The sequence below is a fragment of the Homo sapiens genome, chromosome 7, assembly GCF_000001405.40.
Source record: "Homo sapiens chromosome 7, GRCh38.p14 Primary Assembly".
Taxonomy (NCBI): Eukaryota; Metazoa; Chordata; class Mammalia; order Primates; family Hominidae; genus Homo; species Homo sapiens.
In genome coordinates, this window is record NC_000007.14 from 122646097 (window position 1) to 122665103 (window position 19007).

Below are 19007 nucleotides of genomic sequence, written 5' to 3' on the forward strand. Positions count from 1 at the left end.
AGTTTCAACATAATAAGAGTTCAATTTATACAGCACTTGCATACCAAAAACTGTCCTAAATTTTTATAAACATTATCTCATTTGAACCTCAGAGCCATGTCTCGTCCTCATCTTTCATTCTTTCATTTACTATATGTAAGTGCCCAACAATAGGAAACACAAGTAACATTACTGTACATATGGTACAACAGTACAAGCATTAATATTTATTTGATGTTTAAGTTGTTAAAATGCCGTCAAAGAGGCATATGTAAACATCAATGCAAAGTACAATATGACAGGCTTTTGGGTTATAATGGGGAAACTGTAAGCTCTTCATACATTTTTTCTCTCCCCCAGTATAACAAAAGTGAACAGACACAGGGGCAGGAAGGCTTTCTGAAGGAGGTGGAATTTTTCATGGGTCATGAAGAATGGAGAAGTAGGAATTCCAAATGAAGAGAATAACGTGAGGTAAAATTAAAATCCAAGAAAATACATGGTGTGAACTAGGAACAGCGAGTAATTCACTTTATCTAGAACACAGACTATAAAGAATCGTTACATGAGAAGGAACAGTTGAAATGCAGATGGGGCCACACTGAACACCACAACTGCTGAAAGCTTAACCAAGGAGTATAAATTTCATTTTTTTCCCTATATTCAAAGTTCAGTCATGATGAGATCAGGAAGGTGCTTCAATGATGTTTATCTAAAAACAAAAGTATGTAGGATTAGAAGGAGAAAGTAGGTAAGAGATTACTGTCATGCTCCCTATGTGAGATAATGAAGTCTCCAGCTATGGCAATTGCTATGAAATAAGACAAGAGTAGCAGATAATGTAGTATTATAGAGGAAACAGCAGTATGGAGTAATTCAGTTGGAAAGGCAATAAAAAAGGAAGGGCTTGTGATTATGAGTCAGAAAGGTGAATATGACATTAATAGAAGAACTAGGTATTGGATGAAAAAGAAAGTGACATTTAAATCTACTGAATTTCAGAAGTTTCATATCCATCAGTTTACCATGGGTTTAAGTGACACAGTGCGAAACGAGGAATTGATCTACCTAAAAAAGGTGGATAGCAGGGGGCAGTGGTATTCACAGTAAGCGCAGTGAACTTGTTCTTTTTTACTACAGTTTTTTTTTCCAGTGGATCTAACTAAGAGCAAAATCCCAATATGTTCTAAATTCTCAAACTCTACAAGGTAGTGAACCTATCTATATTTTTCAAATCCTATTGCTCTTCATATCTGACCATGTATACAGAGAGTACACAAACTTTTGACCATTGTTCATAGACTGAGATTTAAGCCTTGTTCATCATATATCAGAATCATGAAAATACTTTGCACGTAGGCAATGAAGTAGTTTTAGACATTTAATAGTAATAATAGAAGTCTTTCTGCCAGTTTGTAACAAAAAGCTAGAAGTAATCATTGTCATCTATTACATAAGTAATATTCTGCTAAGATAACATCAGTTGGCCCTGCTCCATCTAAGGTGATTAGGGAAAATGGAAGCATTTAACTTTTTTCTAGTTTAAAGCAAAGATAATTTAAGATATTTTGAACCAAGAAGATATTAATCAGATAAAACGCATTAAATATCACTGATACTATTTTGTGAGTATACATAAACACTTTTGCCACAGCCTTTTCAAAATGCTTTAAAAAAAGCTTTATATGAAAAATGAGAAGCTGTGCTAATCAGAACAAATAAACAATTAAAAACAAAGTCTAATGCTATGAGCCTGACATATAGTGTCAAATAAATTTTTTAAAATAAATGATTCAATGTACTGTATAGAAGGAATTTATTGAATATATAATGTTCTTTGTTACTGGCTGATTTTCTGAAGCTTTTCATCTTAACTATTTCCTTACCTTGTTAGTTCTTCTCTAAACCCACCTCAATAAGGTTTGCTCTCAACCATCCAAGGAGTCTGCCCTTATCAAAGTCAATAGTGTTTTCCAACTTGACAAATCCAAAGGTTACTTCGTTGTCATCTTACCAGACTTGGTAAGCAGGTGGCATAGAGATTAGCTTTCTCCTCCTTGAAATGGCTTCTCTTGGATTCCCTGATGCCTCACTCTCTAGTTCTTCTCCCACCCCACTGTTTCTTTCCTCTTGGTACAACCTCTAAATCCTTGTGTCCACAGAACTCTGTCCTGGGCTCCTTTTCTCCTTGAGCTCTAGACCCTCCCAAAGGGTTCTGAAGATGTCCCATGGTTTAAAATACTAATGTTATCTAAATGATTCCCAAATCTGTTAAAATTAAAATTTAAACAGATTAAAATTCCAGACTTCTATAACCAGGCATCACCTGCAATCTCGACATGGACAATCAATATTTGACTTCAGCATACACAAAACAGAACCCTTGATCCCCTCTGCCCACCCCGCCAAAATAATGTTGCTTCACAAGAAGAGGAACCGTCATACACCAAGAGCCTAGAAAAGTGCCCGAGTAGAACGGGCACTGTGTTAAAACAAAAATACCCTAATCAGAGAAGCCACATCATACTATGCTTAATATAAAAGCTCCAGCAGGTAAACACTGACAATCCCTAGATCCTGCCAGAAATTCCGACACTTTTATCTTGTCCCTTTAGAGAGTAGGTAGTTCAGTGTTTTGACCCAGGCCATAGTTCTCAAGTGTGGGAGCACAGTGGAATTCCAAAGGACAATACAGAGTGCAGACCCAAGAGGATGCAAAAACAGTCTCGTAGATGAAGTCCAGCAGCCTAAGAACTTCATAGGCAACACAGAGGTAAAACCAGGCCCACAAGCAAAAGATCTACAGCAGAACAATGCGTAGTGCTTGGAGAGATTACCTGAAGGGCTAATATGTAGTTCCTGTTCATTTTAAACAACACTGGCCCATGCCCACAGTAGGGTGAGGCTACCTGCAATTCATTCTTCAGATCACAGAGAAGGAGCTTTCCAGACCCTCAATTTGTTCCAGTCATTCCTTTGCTTATACCCCAACAGTGTTCTCTACCACAAGGTAAATTCCAAGCTCTTTGATCTAGTATATAAGGCCCTAAATATTCAAATCATTTCCTAACTTTTTAGCCTCTTCGGCTACTCCAGCAACACACACCATACCTCCCTAACAGATTCCAATCCATTTCATGATCCTCATGCCTTTGTAAAAGCTGTTTTCTCCCTCATGGTTAATTTTGTGTTCATCATCCAAAACTCAGAATTACTGTTTTCTTAAAACCTTTATTAAACTTCAATTAAATGTCCAAGAAAGAATTGGGTTCCCACACTCCCAAACCAGCTCTATTTCCTGGCACCCAACTAGACTGTTCCCAGCTTCCCCTACATTAGATGTGACCACAGGACAAAGTCCTCAGATGGGATGTCAGGCCAGTGGTCCTCAATTCTCACTGTGCACCAGCATTATATGGGAAAATTATAAAAAAGAGGCATTGGGCCTGACCTCCACAGACCATTTCACTTAGTCTGAGGTGAGGCCCAAGTATTAAAGCTCTTCTATTCATTCTAATGTGCATACAAAGTTGGAGAGCACTAAAGAAATCCATGCCAACTATCCAATATAAATGAAGATGCTGCCACCCATGTGCTCCTGCTGTACAGTATACATACTCCCAGTAATGCACTGATCAACTATACCATTACATTTCATACATCTATATGATTTATACATCTATACCATTTATAAAACTATACAATTTTATACATCTGTCTACTGACCACATATTAATGCCTTGAGGGAAGGAATCAAATCTTGTCATTTATGTATTTTCACTGCTTAACCTAGTAACTGACATTTTTCTTAAGTATTCAATGATTTTTTTTTTTTTTTTTTTTTTTTTTTTTGAGAGAGTCTCACTTTGTCCAGCGCAGGCTGGAGTGCAGTGGTGTGATCTCGGCTCACTGCAACCTCTGCCTCTTGGGTTCAGCAATTCTCCTGCCTCAGCCTCCCGAGTAGCTGGGATTACATGCGCGTGCCACCACACCTGGCTAATTTTTTTGTATTTTTAGTAGAGACAGGTTTCACCATGTTGGCCAGGCTGGTCTGGAACTCCCGACCTCAAGTGATCCACCCACCTCAGGCTCCCAAAGTGCTGGGATTACAGGTGTGAGCTACTACGCCCGGCCAATGAACATTTTTGAATAAATAAAAGAAAAAATATATATCAAATATATAATTTTAAATTTGTTAGAATATTTTCATTAAACAACCATGAAAAATAAAGATACAGTTGCTTATTATGCTTGAAACAGTACACCCATATAATCCTTTCTTATTTATTAGTAGTTGAGAATAGACTTTGAAGTACTTCAGCAAAAACACTTTCTTTTTAGTATTACTACCACAAAGATGTGATCTCTTTGTAAAGCTGTGTTCTCTTATTTTTAAAAAGTGGAAAGTTGGGATAACTTTCTAATTTCCATGGAGCAGAATTAGATAAAGTAGAAAAATCTAAAAATAAATACAGGAATGTCTAAAGGTAATCTATATTCATTATCTAGGGAGATGCTGGAGAAAGCAAAGACAAATTCAACAAAACATTTTAGCAGAAACCTTATTTTAGAATATTCTTATGTAACTCTTCCACATGTAAGCCAAAGGTAAGAAACAAAATAATCCACAGCCAAATGGAGCAACACTAATAAAGCCTATAATTTAATTTGTTAGGAATATGTTAAAATTACACTGACAATTTAAAAATTTTTGAGAGCGGAAACTTAATTCTACCAGAGACTCAAATTCATTTTAGTAAAATTAAATCCATCCAATTTACATTATGATACATTTATTTACCAAAAATTTAACACATATATAAATATTATGGCCACTCCAATGATTAATTTCAGAATTTCAAAAATTCTATAACAATCTAACTATTCTTAAGATCTTGTTTTTCCCTTGCTGCATCCCCAAACACAAATCTGCCATTTAATACATTTACTTAAATATTCTCCTCAAATGTTTTGAGATTTTAAATTATATATATATGAGAAAAATATACTCCTCCCTAATTTTCATTACCATGGCATTTATTTTTCTATTTTGAAGTCATTTTTGAAAGTCATTTTGAAAGGTATCCAATGTAACTGTCAGTAGAATGTGCTATTATTTCTGCTGAAGTAGACACATTACTGTATGTTAAATGAAACCTATTATCAATCACAGGCTACTAGTTGGAAAAAAAAAAAAAAAGAAGACAGTGGTGGAAGTCAGTCTCCAGTTTCCTTTGGGGATTCACATTTCTCTCCCTGTTTTCTTTCTGCACATGTTGAATGAAGATGTCCAAAATGGTTAATGCCTCATGGCTCCTGGACTTCTAGGGGAAGACACCCACGGTGACCACAGCAACTGCCTATTTATTGATTTCTTTAAACTCTTAGACTCAAAGCACTTAATCTCCAAAGCAAAAACTTCTAGGGAAAAGAAATCATAAACTTGAAGCCTACTTTTTAACCATTCACAAATATTTCTGCTTATCCCTTACAAATACCCAAACAGTTCTGTGATGTTACTTAACATGGGTGGTGTAGTCTTCAGACATGAAGAATTTGAGTGGGAGGAGGGATAAGTGAACAAGATCTCAGTTAACTTTGCTTTGACACTCGGGTAAATCTGGGTGAGTCGCTTTCTTCAGTTAATGGAATGAGATTATAAAAGATTAATGAAAGCTGCTTTTGGCAGAAAAGAGCAGGGTCTAGATAGCTATAAAATTTAGTTACTTAATCATTTTAAGAGACAAATATAGAAGTTAAAGGAAAATTATAGGAGTAGATATGGTACTATGTATCCCACTCTTCAGACTCTGTTCATTTAGGATTACATGCCTCTCTATAGTCCATAAGGTGCTTACCTACCTCTGTTAATATCTCAAATACAGCCCCATCTCCTGCTCATACTCCAGTAGTCAACGATGTGAAGTTCCCCAAAAAGCCATGCATTTCATGCCTGCATTCTTTGCATGTGCCTGTCCCTCTGCCCAGAACACCTTAGCATCTACTCATTTTGGAGAACCTCTTCATGATGTATCCAGAACCAGAGATTAACCACACCACTATAGCATTTACAACAGCATTTTTTTCTATAAACCTTGCAAAAATCTAGGTTTTATCTGTCTCTAGGTTCCTATTATTTAACACAATGCCTAGTGAAAACTCTCTCTCTCTCTCTACATATATATATATGCTCTGCATGATTATAGATAATGGGTTAACTAATTAATTTGAACATACTGCATTACCTTATGTCTTATTTAAAAATAACTTTTCATAAACACATTTGTTTTAGGAAAGGCAGTTGATTAACTGGTACCACTTAAGTAACAGCATTTTCATTTAAAAAAGTGAAATAAAATTATTCTAAGACTATCAAATATACAGTTTTAATATTATATAACATTGTTTCTCTAAAAGAATATATATATTTGAAATTAACTGCATTTCCTTAAAATATTCCAAAATTAAACTTTCCACTGACAGATTATTCTTCCTTCACTCCTGTTCCTTTTTATAATATCCTGATTCAATTAAATCACAGCTAACAATTTCAGATTCTTGTACTGTTATGCCACTCATTTTAGACTGTACATGTTGATCTTTACTTTTTTCTTAATATTTTGTTCTATGAATGCGCACCACTGCAGATACATTGTTCTCAAATCAAAGAATCCAAAGTATGAAATTTTATTAGCACAATAGCTAATCTAGGTGCTACTTACATTGTTTTTATTCTTTTTTATGTTTTCTTGATAACAATAACAATTTGTCTTTCTATTATCCCTAATTTCATATCTTAACTATGGTATGTGCTATCTTCTATCTTAGTGTTTTAAAAGTTTCCTTCATGCCTTAATGTTGATAATTAATATGTTACTGGCTCTGACTCAAAGTAATGTAAATAGCCTTTTTCAGAAGAGAGTTTCCTGTTTTTCCACTCCTGATGCTAATCCTGAAGCTCTGGAACAAAGGATATTACCAAACGATGGCCATCGATGTCATGTGGCAGCCCTGGCAAGGCTCCCTTCCCATTCGTGTCCTTTCCTTCTTGAGTTGCCAGAGATTGCCTGGCTGCTGCCATCCTGCACATTTCACCAGAACAGCCCTCGATCCTGAGCTTCTGACTCTTAAGCAAGCAACATCTTTGAGATTTTCTAGATTTGTGCTGCCAAAAACAAGGGGCCACACAAGGGTAAACACATACAGAAGTGACACTGTTACAGTTAGGAGAAGTCTCAAAGCTTTTCCTGAAACATGGAGAAGGTGGGGTAAATCTCACAGACATACACCTGAGCCAGGTTCCAGCAGCTCCATTGGCTTTAGATCCTACCTGCCTCCCCAAGGCCTGCTCTTCTATTTCTCTTCTCAGGCTATTCCTTTCTATAAAGAACAGGCTAGTTTCTGTGATTTCTATTGCTTTGCCTTATCTTTTCTTTTTAACCTTTGTTGGAATATAACAAAAGAAAAAATATACAGGCGTACATCATTTTATTGAGTTTCTCTTTATTGCACTTTGCAGATATTATGGTTTTTTTACACATTGAAGGTCTGTGGCAATCCTGAGTCAAGCAAGTCTATAGGTGCTATTTTTCCAACAGCATGTGCTCACTTCTGTGTCTCATTTTGATAATTCTCACAACATTTCAAACTCTTTCATTGTTATTATATCTGTTAAGGTGATCTGTGATCCGTGATCTTTGATGTCACTATTGGAACTGTTTTGAGGCACCATGAACTGCTCCCATACGAGACAACAAATTCATTCAATAAATGTTATGTGTGTTCTGACAGACCAGCCACTTCCTCATTTCTTTCCCTCCGCTCAGCCCTGCCTATTCCCTAAAACACACTAACATTGAAAATAGGCCAATTAATAACCCAATAATGGCTTGTAAGTGTTCAAGTGAAATGAAGAGTCGCATATCTCTCATTTTAAGTCAAAAGCTAGAAAGGATTAAGCTTAGAAAGGCATGTCATAAGAAGAGACGGGTCAAATGCTAGGCCTCTTGCACCAAACAGCCAAATTGAAGGCTATGAGAAAGGTAAGGAAGGTGTAGAAGAAAAGTTTGAAGCTAGGAGAAGTTGGTTCATGAGGAAAAAGGCAATAAGCCATCTCCATAACATGGAAATGCAAGGTGAAGCAGCAAGTGCTGATGTAGAAGCTGCAGTAAGTTATCCAGAAGATCTAGCTAAGATCATTGATGAAAGTGACTACACTAAACAACATATTTTAATGTAGATGAAACAGCTTTGTGTCAGAAGATGCCATCTAGGGTTTTCATAGCTACTGAGAAGAAGTCAATGCCTGGTTTCAAAGCTGCAAAGGACAGGCTGACTCTCTTGTTAGTGGCTAATGAAGCTGGTGAGTTTAGGTTGAAGCTAATGCTCACTTACTATTCTGAAAACATGAGGGATTTGAAGAATCATGCTAAATCTACTTTGCTAGTGCTCCATAAATGGAACAACAAAGCCTGGATGACAGCACATATGTTTCCAGCATGGTATACTGAATATTGAGACTTCTAAGAAAATAAAGATTCCTTTCAAAATAGTATTGCTCATTGACAATGCACTTAGTAACCCAAGGGTTCTGATAGAGATGTACAAGAAGATTCACATTGATTTCATGCCTGCTAACATAAGATCCATTCTGCAGCTCATTAACCAAGAAGGAATTTTGACTTTCGAGTCTTATTATTTAAGAAATACAGTTTGTAAAGCTATAGCTACCACAGATAGTGATGGATTAGAGCAAAGTAAATGGAAAACTTTCTGGAAAGGATCACCATTCTAGATGCCATTAACACACTTGTGATTCAAGGGAGGAAGTTAAAATGTCAACATGAACAGGCATTTGGAAGAAGTTGATTCCAATCCTCACAGACGACTTTGAGGGATTCAAGACTTCAGTAAAGGAAGTAACTGGAGATGTTCTAGAAATAGCAAAAGAATTAGAAACAGAAGTGGAGCCTAAAGATGTGACTAAATTGCTGAAGTCTCATGATAAAACTTGAATGGATGAGGTATTGCTTCTTATGGACGAACAAAGAAAGTTGTGTCTTGAAGTGAAATCTAATCCTAGTGAAGATGCTGTGAACACTGTTGAAATGATAAAGGATTTAGAATATTTATATAAACGTAGCTGATAAAGCAGTGGCAGGGTATGAGAGGACTAATTCCAATTTTGAAAAATGTTCTTCTGTGGGTAAAATACTATCAAACAGTATCACATACTATTCAGAAATCTTTTGTGAAAAGAAGAGTGAATCGCTATGCAAATTTCATTGTTGTCTTATTTAAAGAAACTAATATAGCCAACCTAGTCATTAAGCAGCCATCCACATCAAGGCGAGACCCTCTACCAGCAAAAAGATTATGACTTGCTGAAGGCTCAAATGCTTGGTAGCATTTTTTAAAACAAGAAAGTATTTTTAAATTAAGATACATAGGTTATTTTTTAAACATAATTCTATTATACCCCTAATAGACCACAGTACAGTAAAACATAAATTTTATATGCAGTGTGAAATAAAAAAAAATTGTGTGACCTGCTTTATTGCAATATTCACTTTGTGGCAGTGGTCTGGAACTGGACCCACAATATCTCCAAGGTATGCTTGCATAGCATTCAGGAAAAAAAAAGTGTCTTGGTTGCTTTCTAAACAATTTATTTTCATAATTTCTGTAAAATAATTATTATTATATGTCCTTATTTACAGGGGTACTCTTTATAATTTCTTTTTGTTTTAAAATCAATCAAAAATAATCCTCAAGCTTTTCTTTCAAATCTCAGAACTGAAAGAAACTATAGTTTTAGTTCAGACATATAAAGAGCTTGGAAGTCATCACTCCCATCCTCAGAATAAAAAGTTGGGCAAGCTGCAAATCATTGACTTTTCTTGGACTTCTCAGAGAACTGAGTGTGCAGGGGAAACCACTAACCAAAATCTAGAAAGATGGGCAAATCCAGAAAGACACAGCACTTGGAGCAGAAGCTGCTGTATGCCATGAGTGGTAGGAATATTTACTTGTCTAGTAATTTTGAAAAATTACTATAAGCTGGGTGCAGAGAGTAAGAAATTCCTGGAGCCACAATCATAAAGAGGCTCCCAAACTTTGCTGGACTTTCCTTTCAGTTACCCCACAAAGTTCTAATAGTGAGGATCCAAAAAAGATCCCTGTATGGCCATGGCAGAAAAAAGGGGGAGAAAGCCATTGTTCAATCTCCCAGATCCTTCTCTCTAGCAAAAGCAGAAAGGTTTTGCCTGAGGGAAACACTGAAAACTTATCCCAGGTGGAAGAAGAGAATACCACCCCACTCCAGCCCTCTTGACTCACGTACTGAAAAGCAAAAACAAAAAACAGAGAGAACAGGAGACAGGACTTCAAAAAAAGAGACTGGGAAGCTGCATCCAGGGAAGAGAATGAAGAATATGGTAGTAGGAGGGAGCAATCCTCCTAGACCAGGGACAGAAACACTTATGAAGGTTACAGGTCCACTAAAAGACTGAGATTTAATCAGATTAGAGGACACTCCATCTCTCCAACACTTTACCACAATACCAACACAGCTCTAGGATGACAAGAGTGGATTGGTGACAGCTAAAAGAGCTGCAGGATGTAGACTTTCCCTGGGGCAGAGTCCTTAGGGAAGCCCAGTCAAAAGGGGAGACAAAAACAAGGATACTGGAGGAAGCTGAAGTTTCTCTTTTGCTGTGCAGAAGATCTTTAGTTTAATTAGATCCCATTTGTCAATTTTGGCTTTTGACGCCATTGCTTCTGGTGTTTTAGACATGAAGTCCTTGCCCATGCCTATGTCCTGAATGGTATTGCCTAGGTTTTCTTCTAGGGTTTTTATGGTTTTAGGTCTAACACTTAAGTCTTTAATCCATCTGGAATTAATTTTTGTATAAGGTGTAAGGAAGGGATCCAGTTTCAGCTTTCTACATATGGCTAGCCAGTTTTCCCAGCACCATTTATTAAATAGGGAATCCTTTCCCCATTTCTTGTTTTTGTCAGGTTTGTCAAAGATCAGATGGTTGTTTATGTGTGGTATTATTTCTGAGGACTCTGCTCTGTTCCATAGGTCTATATCTCTGTTTTGGTACCAGTACCATGCTGTTTTGGTTACTGTAGCCTTGTAGTATAGTTTGAAATCAGGTAGCGTGATGCCTCCAGCTTTGTTCTTTTGGCTTAGGATTGTCTTGGCAATGCAGGCTCTTTTTTGGTTCCATATGAACTTTAAAGTAGTGCTTTCCGATTCTGTGAAGAAAGTCATTGGTAGCTTGATGGGGATGGCATTGAATCTATAAATTACCTTGGGCATTATGGCCATTTTCACGATATTGATTCTTCTATCCATGAGCATGGAATGTTCTTCCATTTGTTTGTGTCCTCTTTTTATTTCGTTGAGCAGTGGTTTGTAGTTCTCCTTGAAGAGGTCCTTCACATCCCTTGTAAGTTGGATTCCTAGGTATTTTGTTCTCTTTGAAGCAATTGTGAATAGGAGTTCATTTGTGATTTGGCTCTCTGTTTGTCTGTTATTGGTGTATAAGAATGCTTGTGATTTTTGCACATTGATTTTGTATCCTGAGATTTTGCTGAAATTGTTTATCAGCTTAAGGAGATTTGGGGCTGAGATGATGGGGTTTTCTAAATATACAATCATGTCATCTGCAAACAGGGACAATTTGACTTCCTCTTTTCCTAATTGAATACCCTTTCTTTCTTTCTCCTGCCTGATTGCCCTGGCCAGAACTTCCAACACTATGTTGAATAGGAGTGGTGAGAGAGGGCATCCCTGTCTTGTGCCAGTTTTCAAAGGGAATGCTTACACTTTTTGCCCATTACAGAAGCTGCCATCAGAGTGAACAGGCAACCTACAGAATGGGAGAAAATTTTTGCAATCTACTCATCTGATAAAGGGCTAATATCCAGAATCTACAAAGAACTCAAACAAATTTACAAGAAAAAAACAAACAACCCCATCAAAAAGTGGGCAAAGGATATGAACAGACACTTCTCAAAAGAAGACATTTATGCAGCCAACAGACATATGAAAAAATGCTCATCATCACTGGCCATCAGAGAAATGCAAATCAAAACCACAATGAGATACCATCTCACACCAGTTAGAATGGCAATCATTAAAAAGTCAGGAAACAACAGGTGCTGGAGAGGATGTGGAGAAATAGGAACACTTTTACACTGTTGGTGGGACTGTAAACTAGTTCAACCACTGTGAAAGACAGTGTGGCAATTCCTCAAGGATCTAGAACTAGAAATACCATTCGACCAGCCATCCCATTACTGGGTATATACCCAAAGGATTAGAAATCATGCTGCTATAAAGATACAGGCACAGTATGTTTATTGAGGCACTATTCACAATAGCAAAGACTTGGAACCAACCCAAATGTCAATGATAGACTGGATTAAGAAAATGTGGCACATATACACCATGGAAATACTATGCAGCCGTAAAAAAGGATGAGTTAATGTCCTTTGTAGGGACATGGATGAAGCTGGAAACCATCATTCTCAGCAAACTATCGCAAGGACAGAAAACCAAACACCACATGTTCTCACTCATAGGTGGGAATTGAACAATGAGAACACGTGGACACAGGAAGGGGAACGAAACACACTGGGCCCTTTGTGGTGTGGACGAGTGGGGAGGGGATAGCATTAGGAGATATACCTAATGTAAATGATGAGTTAATGGGTGCAGCACACCAACATGGCACATGTATACATATGTAACTAACCTGCACGTTGTGCACATGTACCCTAGAACTTAAAGTATAATAAAAAAATTAAAAATAAGGAGATTTAATAATATGTAAAAAAAAAAGTTTCTCGTACTTATGGCTACAAGAAACACTAAACATTAAGCACAGCTCAACTCCTACTCAGATTAACATAAATATTTATATGAAAGCCTTAGTTACCTCAGTTCTCAGTTCTCATTACCTAATATATCTGGCTTACAACAAAAAATTATGAAGCATGTCAAAAGCACAAAACCAAAAGAAACACAATCTGGAGAGATAAAGCAAGCATCTGAACTAGATTCAGATACGAGACAGATGTTAGAATTATCAAACAAGGAATTTAGATTACTATTATTAATAGGCTAAGGGCCCTAATGTAAAAAGTTGAAAACATGCAAAAACAATGCATAATAAAAGCAGGAGACGGAAACTACCAAAAAATCAAAAGGAAATGCTAGACATAAAAAAAAAAAAAAAACACCGTGGAAAAAAATGAAGAATGCCTTTGATAGGCTCATTAGTGGATTTGACATTGCTGAGGAAAGAATCAGTGAGCTTGAAGACATGTCAATAAAAACTTCCCAAACTGAAATACAAAGAGAAAAAGAGTTGAACAAACAGAACGGACATCCCAGGACTGTGGGATAACATGGGTAACAGAAACATGGGTGACATAAACATATCTAGAATACCAGAAAAAGAATAAAGAGGGGATAGGACAGAAGGAATATTTGAAGTAATAACAGCAGTGAACTTTCCAAAATTAATAATAGACACTGACCCACAGATACAGGAAGCTCAGAAAAACACCAAGCAAAAGAAATACACACAAGCACACACACCCCTAGACACAGCATATTCGAATTGCAGAAAAATGAAAGAAGGAAAAACTCTTGAAGGAAGCCATAAGGGGGAAAATAACACCTTACCTCTAAAGAGTAAAGGATAAGAACTACATTAAACTCATCAGAAATCATGCAAACAAAAAGACAGTGTGGTGAAATTTTCAGAGCGCTGAAAGAGAAAAAAAAATCTAACAGATAATTCTATATCCAGTGAAATTATACTTTAAATGCAAAGAAGAAACAAGGACTTTCTCAAACAAAAACTGAGAGACTGCATCACCACTAGTCTTGGCCTACAAGACATGATAAAAGTTCTTCAGAGATAAGGAAAATAATATCAGTAAGAAATTTGAATCTACATAAAGAAATGAAAGAGCATCAGAGGAGGAATAAATGAAGGTAAAATACATATAATCTTTTATTTTTCTTATTTTTAATTGAGCTAAAAGATAACTGTTCAAAGCAATAATAGAAAGAATATATTGGGGGTTATAGCATATTATAAATGAAGTGAATGACAGCAATGCCACAAGGGATGCGAGGAAGGAATTGGATATACTCTATTATGGAGTAGCTGCAGTACACATGAAGCCTTATAGTATAGTGTTATCTGATGGTAGGCTTAGATTATTTAAAAATATGTATTTTAAACTCTAGGAGAATCACCAAAATTTTGTTTCGTTTTTTAAAAAAATGTATAAGCAGTACACCAAAAGACACAAAATGGAATTCATATAAAGTGTTCAATCAAAATTACAGAAGGCACAAAAACTAGGGGAGGGCAAAGAACAAATGCATCAAGTGGTAAAAGCTACAAAGATTTTAAAATTTAATCCAACTACATTAGTAATCACCTTAAATATGAATGGCCTAAACATACCCATTAAAAGACCAAGATGATCAGTCTGGATTTAAAAAAAAAAAAAGAAAACTTGGGCCAAGCGCTGTGGCTCACACCTGTAATCCCAGCACTTTGGGAGGCCGAGGCGGGCGGATCATGAGGTCAGGAGATCGAGACCATCCCTGCCAACATGGTGAAACCCCATCTCTACTAAAAATACAAAAATTAGCCAGGCATGGTGGTGTGGTGCCTGTAATCCCAGCTACTTGGGAGGCTGAGGCAGAAGAATCACCTGAACCCGGGAGGTGGAGGTTGCAGTAAGTTGAGATCACACCACTGCCCTCCAGCCTGGACAACAGAGGAAGACTTCGTCTCGGAAAAAAAAGAAAAACTTCAAGACCCAATTGCACACTGTCTACAAAACATCCACTTTAAAAATAAAGACTTATGTTAAAAGTAAACAGATGGAGAAAGAGATACCATGTTAACCTTAATAAAAAGAAAGCTGGAGTGGCTGTATTAGCTTAAGACAATGTAGATTTCAGAAAAAGGAAAATAATCAGGGATAAAAAGGAATACTACATCACGATAAAGGAGTCAATTCTACAATAAAACATAACAATCCTACTACAAATATATGTACCTAATAGAGTATCAAAATATATGAGACAAATACTGATAGAACTGAAAGGACAAATAAACAAAACTGCTATTTTTTATTGTTGTTCAGGCCAACTCTGAGCAAGGACAAAGCCACTGCTACAGTTGGAGATCTGAATTGCAAGTAGGTTTCAAATCACAGAAGACTAAAACCAGGGTGCCCACAGTCCAGCTGATTCTCTAGTAGGCAGACAACTTAAACATATTTTAAGTTAATAACATAAACTCATAGGAACATGGAAATATATTTTATAACCTTGTAACATCTAGTATATTCTAATCCATATGTAATAACTCATTTAGAGGTCTTATAATATCTTTGTGTTTTAAAATCAATAAAAAATAATCCATAAGCTTTTCTTTCAAATCTCAGAACTGAAAGGAATTATAGCTTTAACTGAGACATATAAAGAGCTTGAAAGTCATCACTCCCATCCTCAGAATAAAAAGCTGGGCAAGCTGCAAATAAATGACTTTTCTTGGACTTATCAAGTCTTATCTTATATAGACTTTAGCCACTACAGAGGAAAAAATATGTTTTTTCGCTCAACTTGGATTCCCTAATACCTACAGAGGTTTTGGACTTGAATAAAGCTCAACAAATATCTACTGAATGTCTGAATCTGAGTTTTCCCACTAAATTATGTTAATCAACATTTATTTGTACAAGTGAGCTACTGTTTCACTAAAAATACAAAGTTCCAGTTGAAGTTATCTTTCAAATAGAAGATTTTGGTTTTATAGTCTTCTTCCACTATTATCAAATAACTACCTGGTTTAATAAAACAATGAAATCAATTACAGTGAGTACACAAATTGTTCACAGGGTTAAAGTGCCTCAGTGATTTACTATTAACTCTATTAATTTGTTGACTTGAAATGATCCACAAATTACCAATGCAAAGTAACCAATATGGATATAACACAGAAATTCAGAGAAGATTTGCAAAAAGATTAAAAACAAACATGTATATTATAGAAGTGTAACTCTTAAGGTAACACAAAAATTTTTAAGTGTCAGAATTTTATCAATTTAAGTTTTATATTAGGGCATAGTTAAATAATTTATACCCTCAACATAAACAAACAAAATGCAAATATAGAAGGACTACATTATTAGACAAATCATTGGGTCTAAAAAATGAAAAATGTGAAACATGATTTTATACCTCCTTCCCTGCTTTTTTTTTTTTTTTTTTTTAAGACGAGTCTTACTTTGTCACCAGGCTGGAGTGCAGTGGCACGATCTCAGCTCACTGCAACCTCCGCCTCCCAGGTTCAAGCAATTCTCCTGCCTCAGCCTCCTGAGTAGCTGGGACTACAGGCATGCACCACCACGCCCAGCTAATTTTTCTATTTTTAGTAGAAACCAGGTTTCACCATGTTGCCCACGATGGTCTCAATCTCCTGACCTCACTATCTGCCCGCCTCAGCCTCCCAAAGCATTGGGTTACAGGCGTGAGCCACCATGCCTGGCCTTTATCCCATTTTTGTATGTATAACTAGAATAACAACTGAAGAGAAAATATAATATTCACTCTGTCATCTCTTTAAATTACATAGTTCAACTATCATCCTCAATTTATTTCAATCTGGATGAGTTAAATAAAAAAATTTGAAATTTAATTACTTCCATACAACTCAGAAGACCAGCATCATATCTTTATAAAATATTATTTTGCAGTGAGAAATACCTATTTATTATAATTTGCCAAGCTTCTTCAGATAGGAGATGATTTTCCTTTTACTCTACATGGCATGGCCCATTAATACCTAATAGGCACAAATCTAATGTCCTACAGTAGGACACATGGGGATGATTACTTACTGGATAAGAAGTACTGATATTCTTCTCCTTCTACCAAATACTTTTTTCAAAACTTCTCTCAAATATCACTATGTGATCTATTCAAATTCAATTTTGCTCAACTTTCCAAGTAAAGTGATTATAGCAAGTAAAGGACATCTTCATAGGCTTGTAAATACTTCATGTTCATTCCACGAGTCAGACAGGGGAAGGGAAAATATCAGAGACCACTTACCTGACATGCATTATAAAGGAGCTGGTGTTCCAGTTTTTTAATACCCAGAATCTGCTGAAACATTTCATAGAGTTGTTCCTTGCTCAGAATAAGTTCAGACACTGCACTTAGGGCCATTCTATTTGGCTGTTTGCACAAGTCCTCTTCACCTCTGTAAATGGCATCATATTTGGCTATCCATGAGCTCAACACTGTCTCTTTGCTCAAGCCATCTATTTCTGGCAAACTCCGCACACGTTTTTCTATGTTTTTCTTAAATACTTCTCTGAAGTCATTAGCAGAACACCCTCCACTCTGTACCATTCTGGCCACTCGGTCACTCTTTAGAAAAACCTGAAAACAAAACAAAACAAAACAAAACAAAAAACAATTACAATTAGGTGTAGATGCTAACACCACTTGCTTTCAGCAATCCAGCCAGAGTTTCTACAAATATTTCAGCCAAATACTCCACAATGATTCAAAATGTTTTATAATACATGGTAACTAATGTCATAATGTTGGCCCCAAATCTCTCTAAAATTTTAAAATGTGTAGGAGACACAGTATACAGTAAAAAATACCAGTAAGATGGTTTACTTTGACCTGTATGTCTCCCACCTCTACAACGAAATCCTTTAGAGTGATGTCCTTATGAATGTGATTCGTGCTCTTATACACAGACTCCAGAACTCTCTCATGCCTTCCACCACATGTGTTCAGAGTGAAAGGACAGCTGTCTGTGAATCAGGAAGCAGGTCCTCACAGACACCAAATTGGCTAACACCCTGATTTTGGACTTCCCAAGCCTCCAGAACTGTAAGAAATAAATGACCATTGTTTATAAGCAAAAAAAAAAAAAAAAAAAAAGATGATTAGGAAAACAACTGGAGATATGAACCCAACATCCATACCTGTGTCTGAGAGTTCTAGCTGGTTTTTCAGCAGGGAAAGAATCATGTATTATTTGAGTGTGGACTTGAAGATCAACAGTAGGGTAAGTCTAATATCCAAGTCAATATTCATCATATGTAATTTTTACTCAAAATTGCCCAACAGCTGGGGGGCTAGAATATACCTGTCCCCATCCCTGATTTTACCACCTCTGCAACTTCTCACACACTTATCATAACTAGAAAGAATGGAGGCTTGGAAAGCAATACCTCTAAGGGACTTCTAATTGTCCATTACTACTGGAAAATAAAATAAAATAAAAACAACAATAGAGACAACCATAGAGTAAGATGTTCATGAGACAGGTAGCAAGGGTTGGGTAAAAATAAGTACAGTAATAAGGTCATATTTGGGAAGAGACACCAGAGATTTGGCCTTAAATCTCTCTGTTCTGCTAAGTTATGTATCTAAGTATCAGTTAAGATTCATTAAACTTCTGTTATGCTGTCAATATTCCTAAGAATCCTCCATAAGCCATATAAGACTGCTTTTATTCTTGCTTTATTCTTTCTATGATGTCAAAAGACTCTCCCAGAAAAGCCTGCAGGACAATTTAATAGAACCTCCATAAATTATATGCTGTTATTGAGCTTACAGAACAAAAATTCAAGTCAACTTTTTTTTCTTTTTTTTGAAACAGGGTCTCACTCTGTGGCCCAGGCTGGAGCCCAGTGACACAATCACAGCTCACTGCAGCCTTGACATCCCAGGCTCAAGCAATCCTCCCACCTCAGCCTCCCAAGTAGCTGGGACCTGCAAACACACACCATCATGCCTGGGCTAGTTTTTGTATTTTTTTTTTTTTTTTTTGTAGATATGGGGTCTCATTTATATGACTCAGGCTGGTCTCAAACTCCTAGGCTCAGGCAATCCTCCTGCCTTGGACTCCCAAAGTGCTAGGATTACAGGCATGAGCCACCACACCTGGCCTCAA

General features: G+C 36.5%; 1 protein-coding gene across 28 annotated transcripts in view; it reads right to left on the reverse strand.

Annotated features, from left to right (window-relative positions):
- CADPS2 (calcium dependent secretion activator 2) overlaps nucleotides 1-19007 on the reverse strand; it is a 568050-nt gene that overhangs the window by 327686 nt on the left and 221357 nt on the right. For all 28 annotated transcript variants that reach the window (NM_001363398.2, NM_001009571.4, XM_047421032.1 and 25 more), the window contains one exon: nucleotides 17141-17473. In NM_001363398.2, the coding sequence (NP_001350327.1) occupies nucleotides 17141-17473 (333 nt within the window). The remainder of the gene's footprint in view (nucleotides 1-17140; nucleotides 17474-19007) is intronic.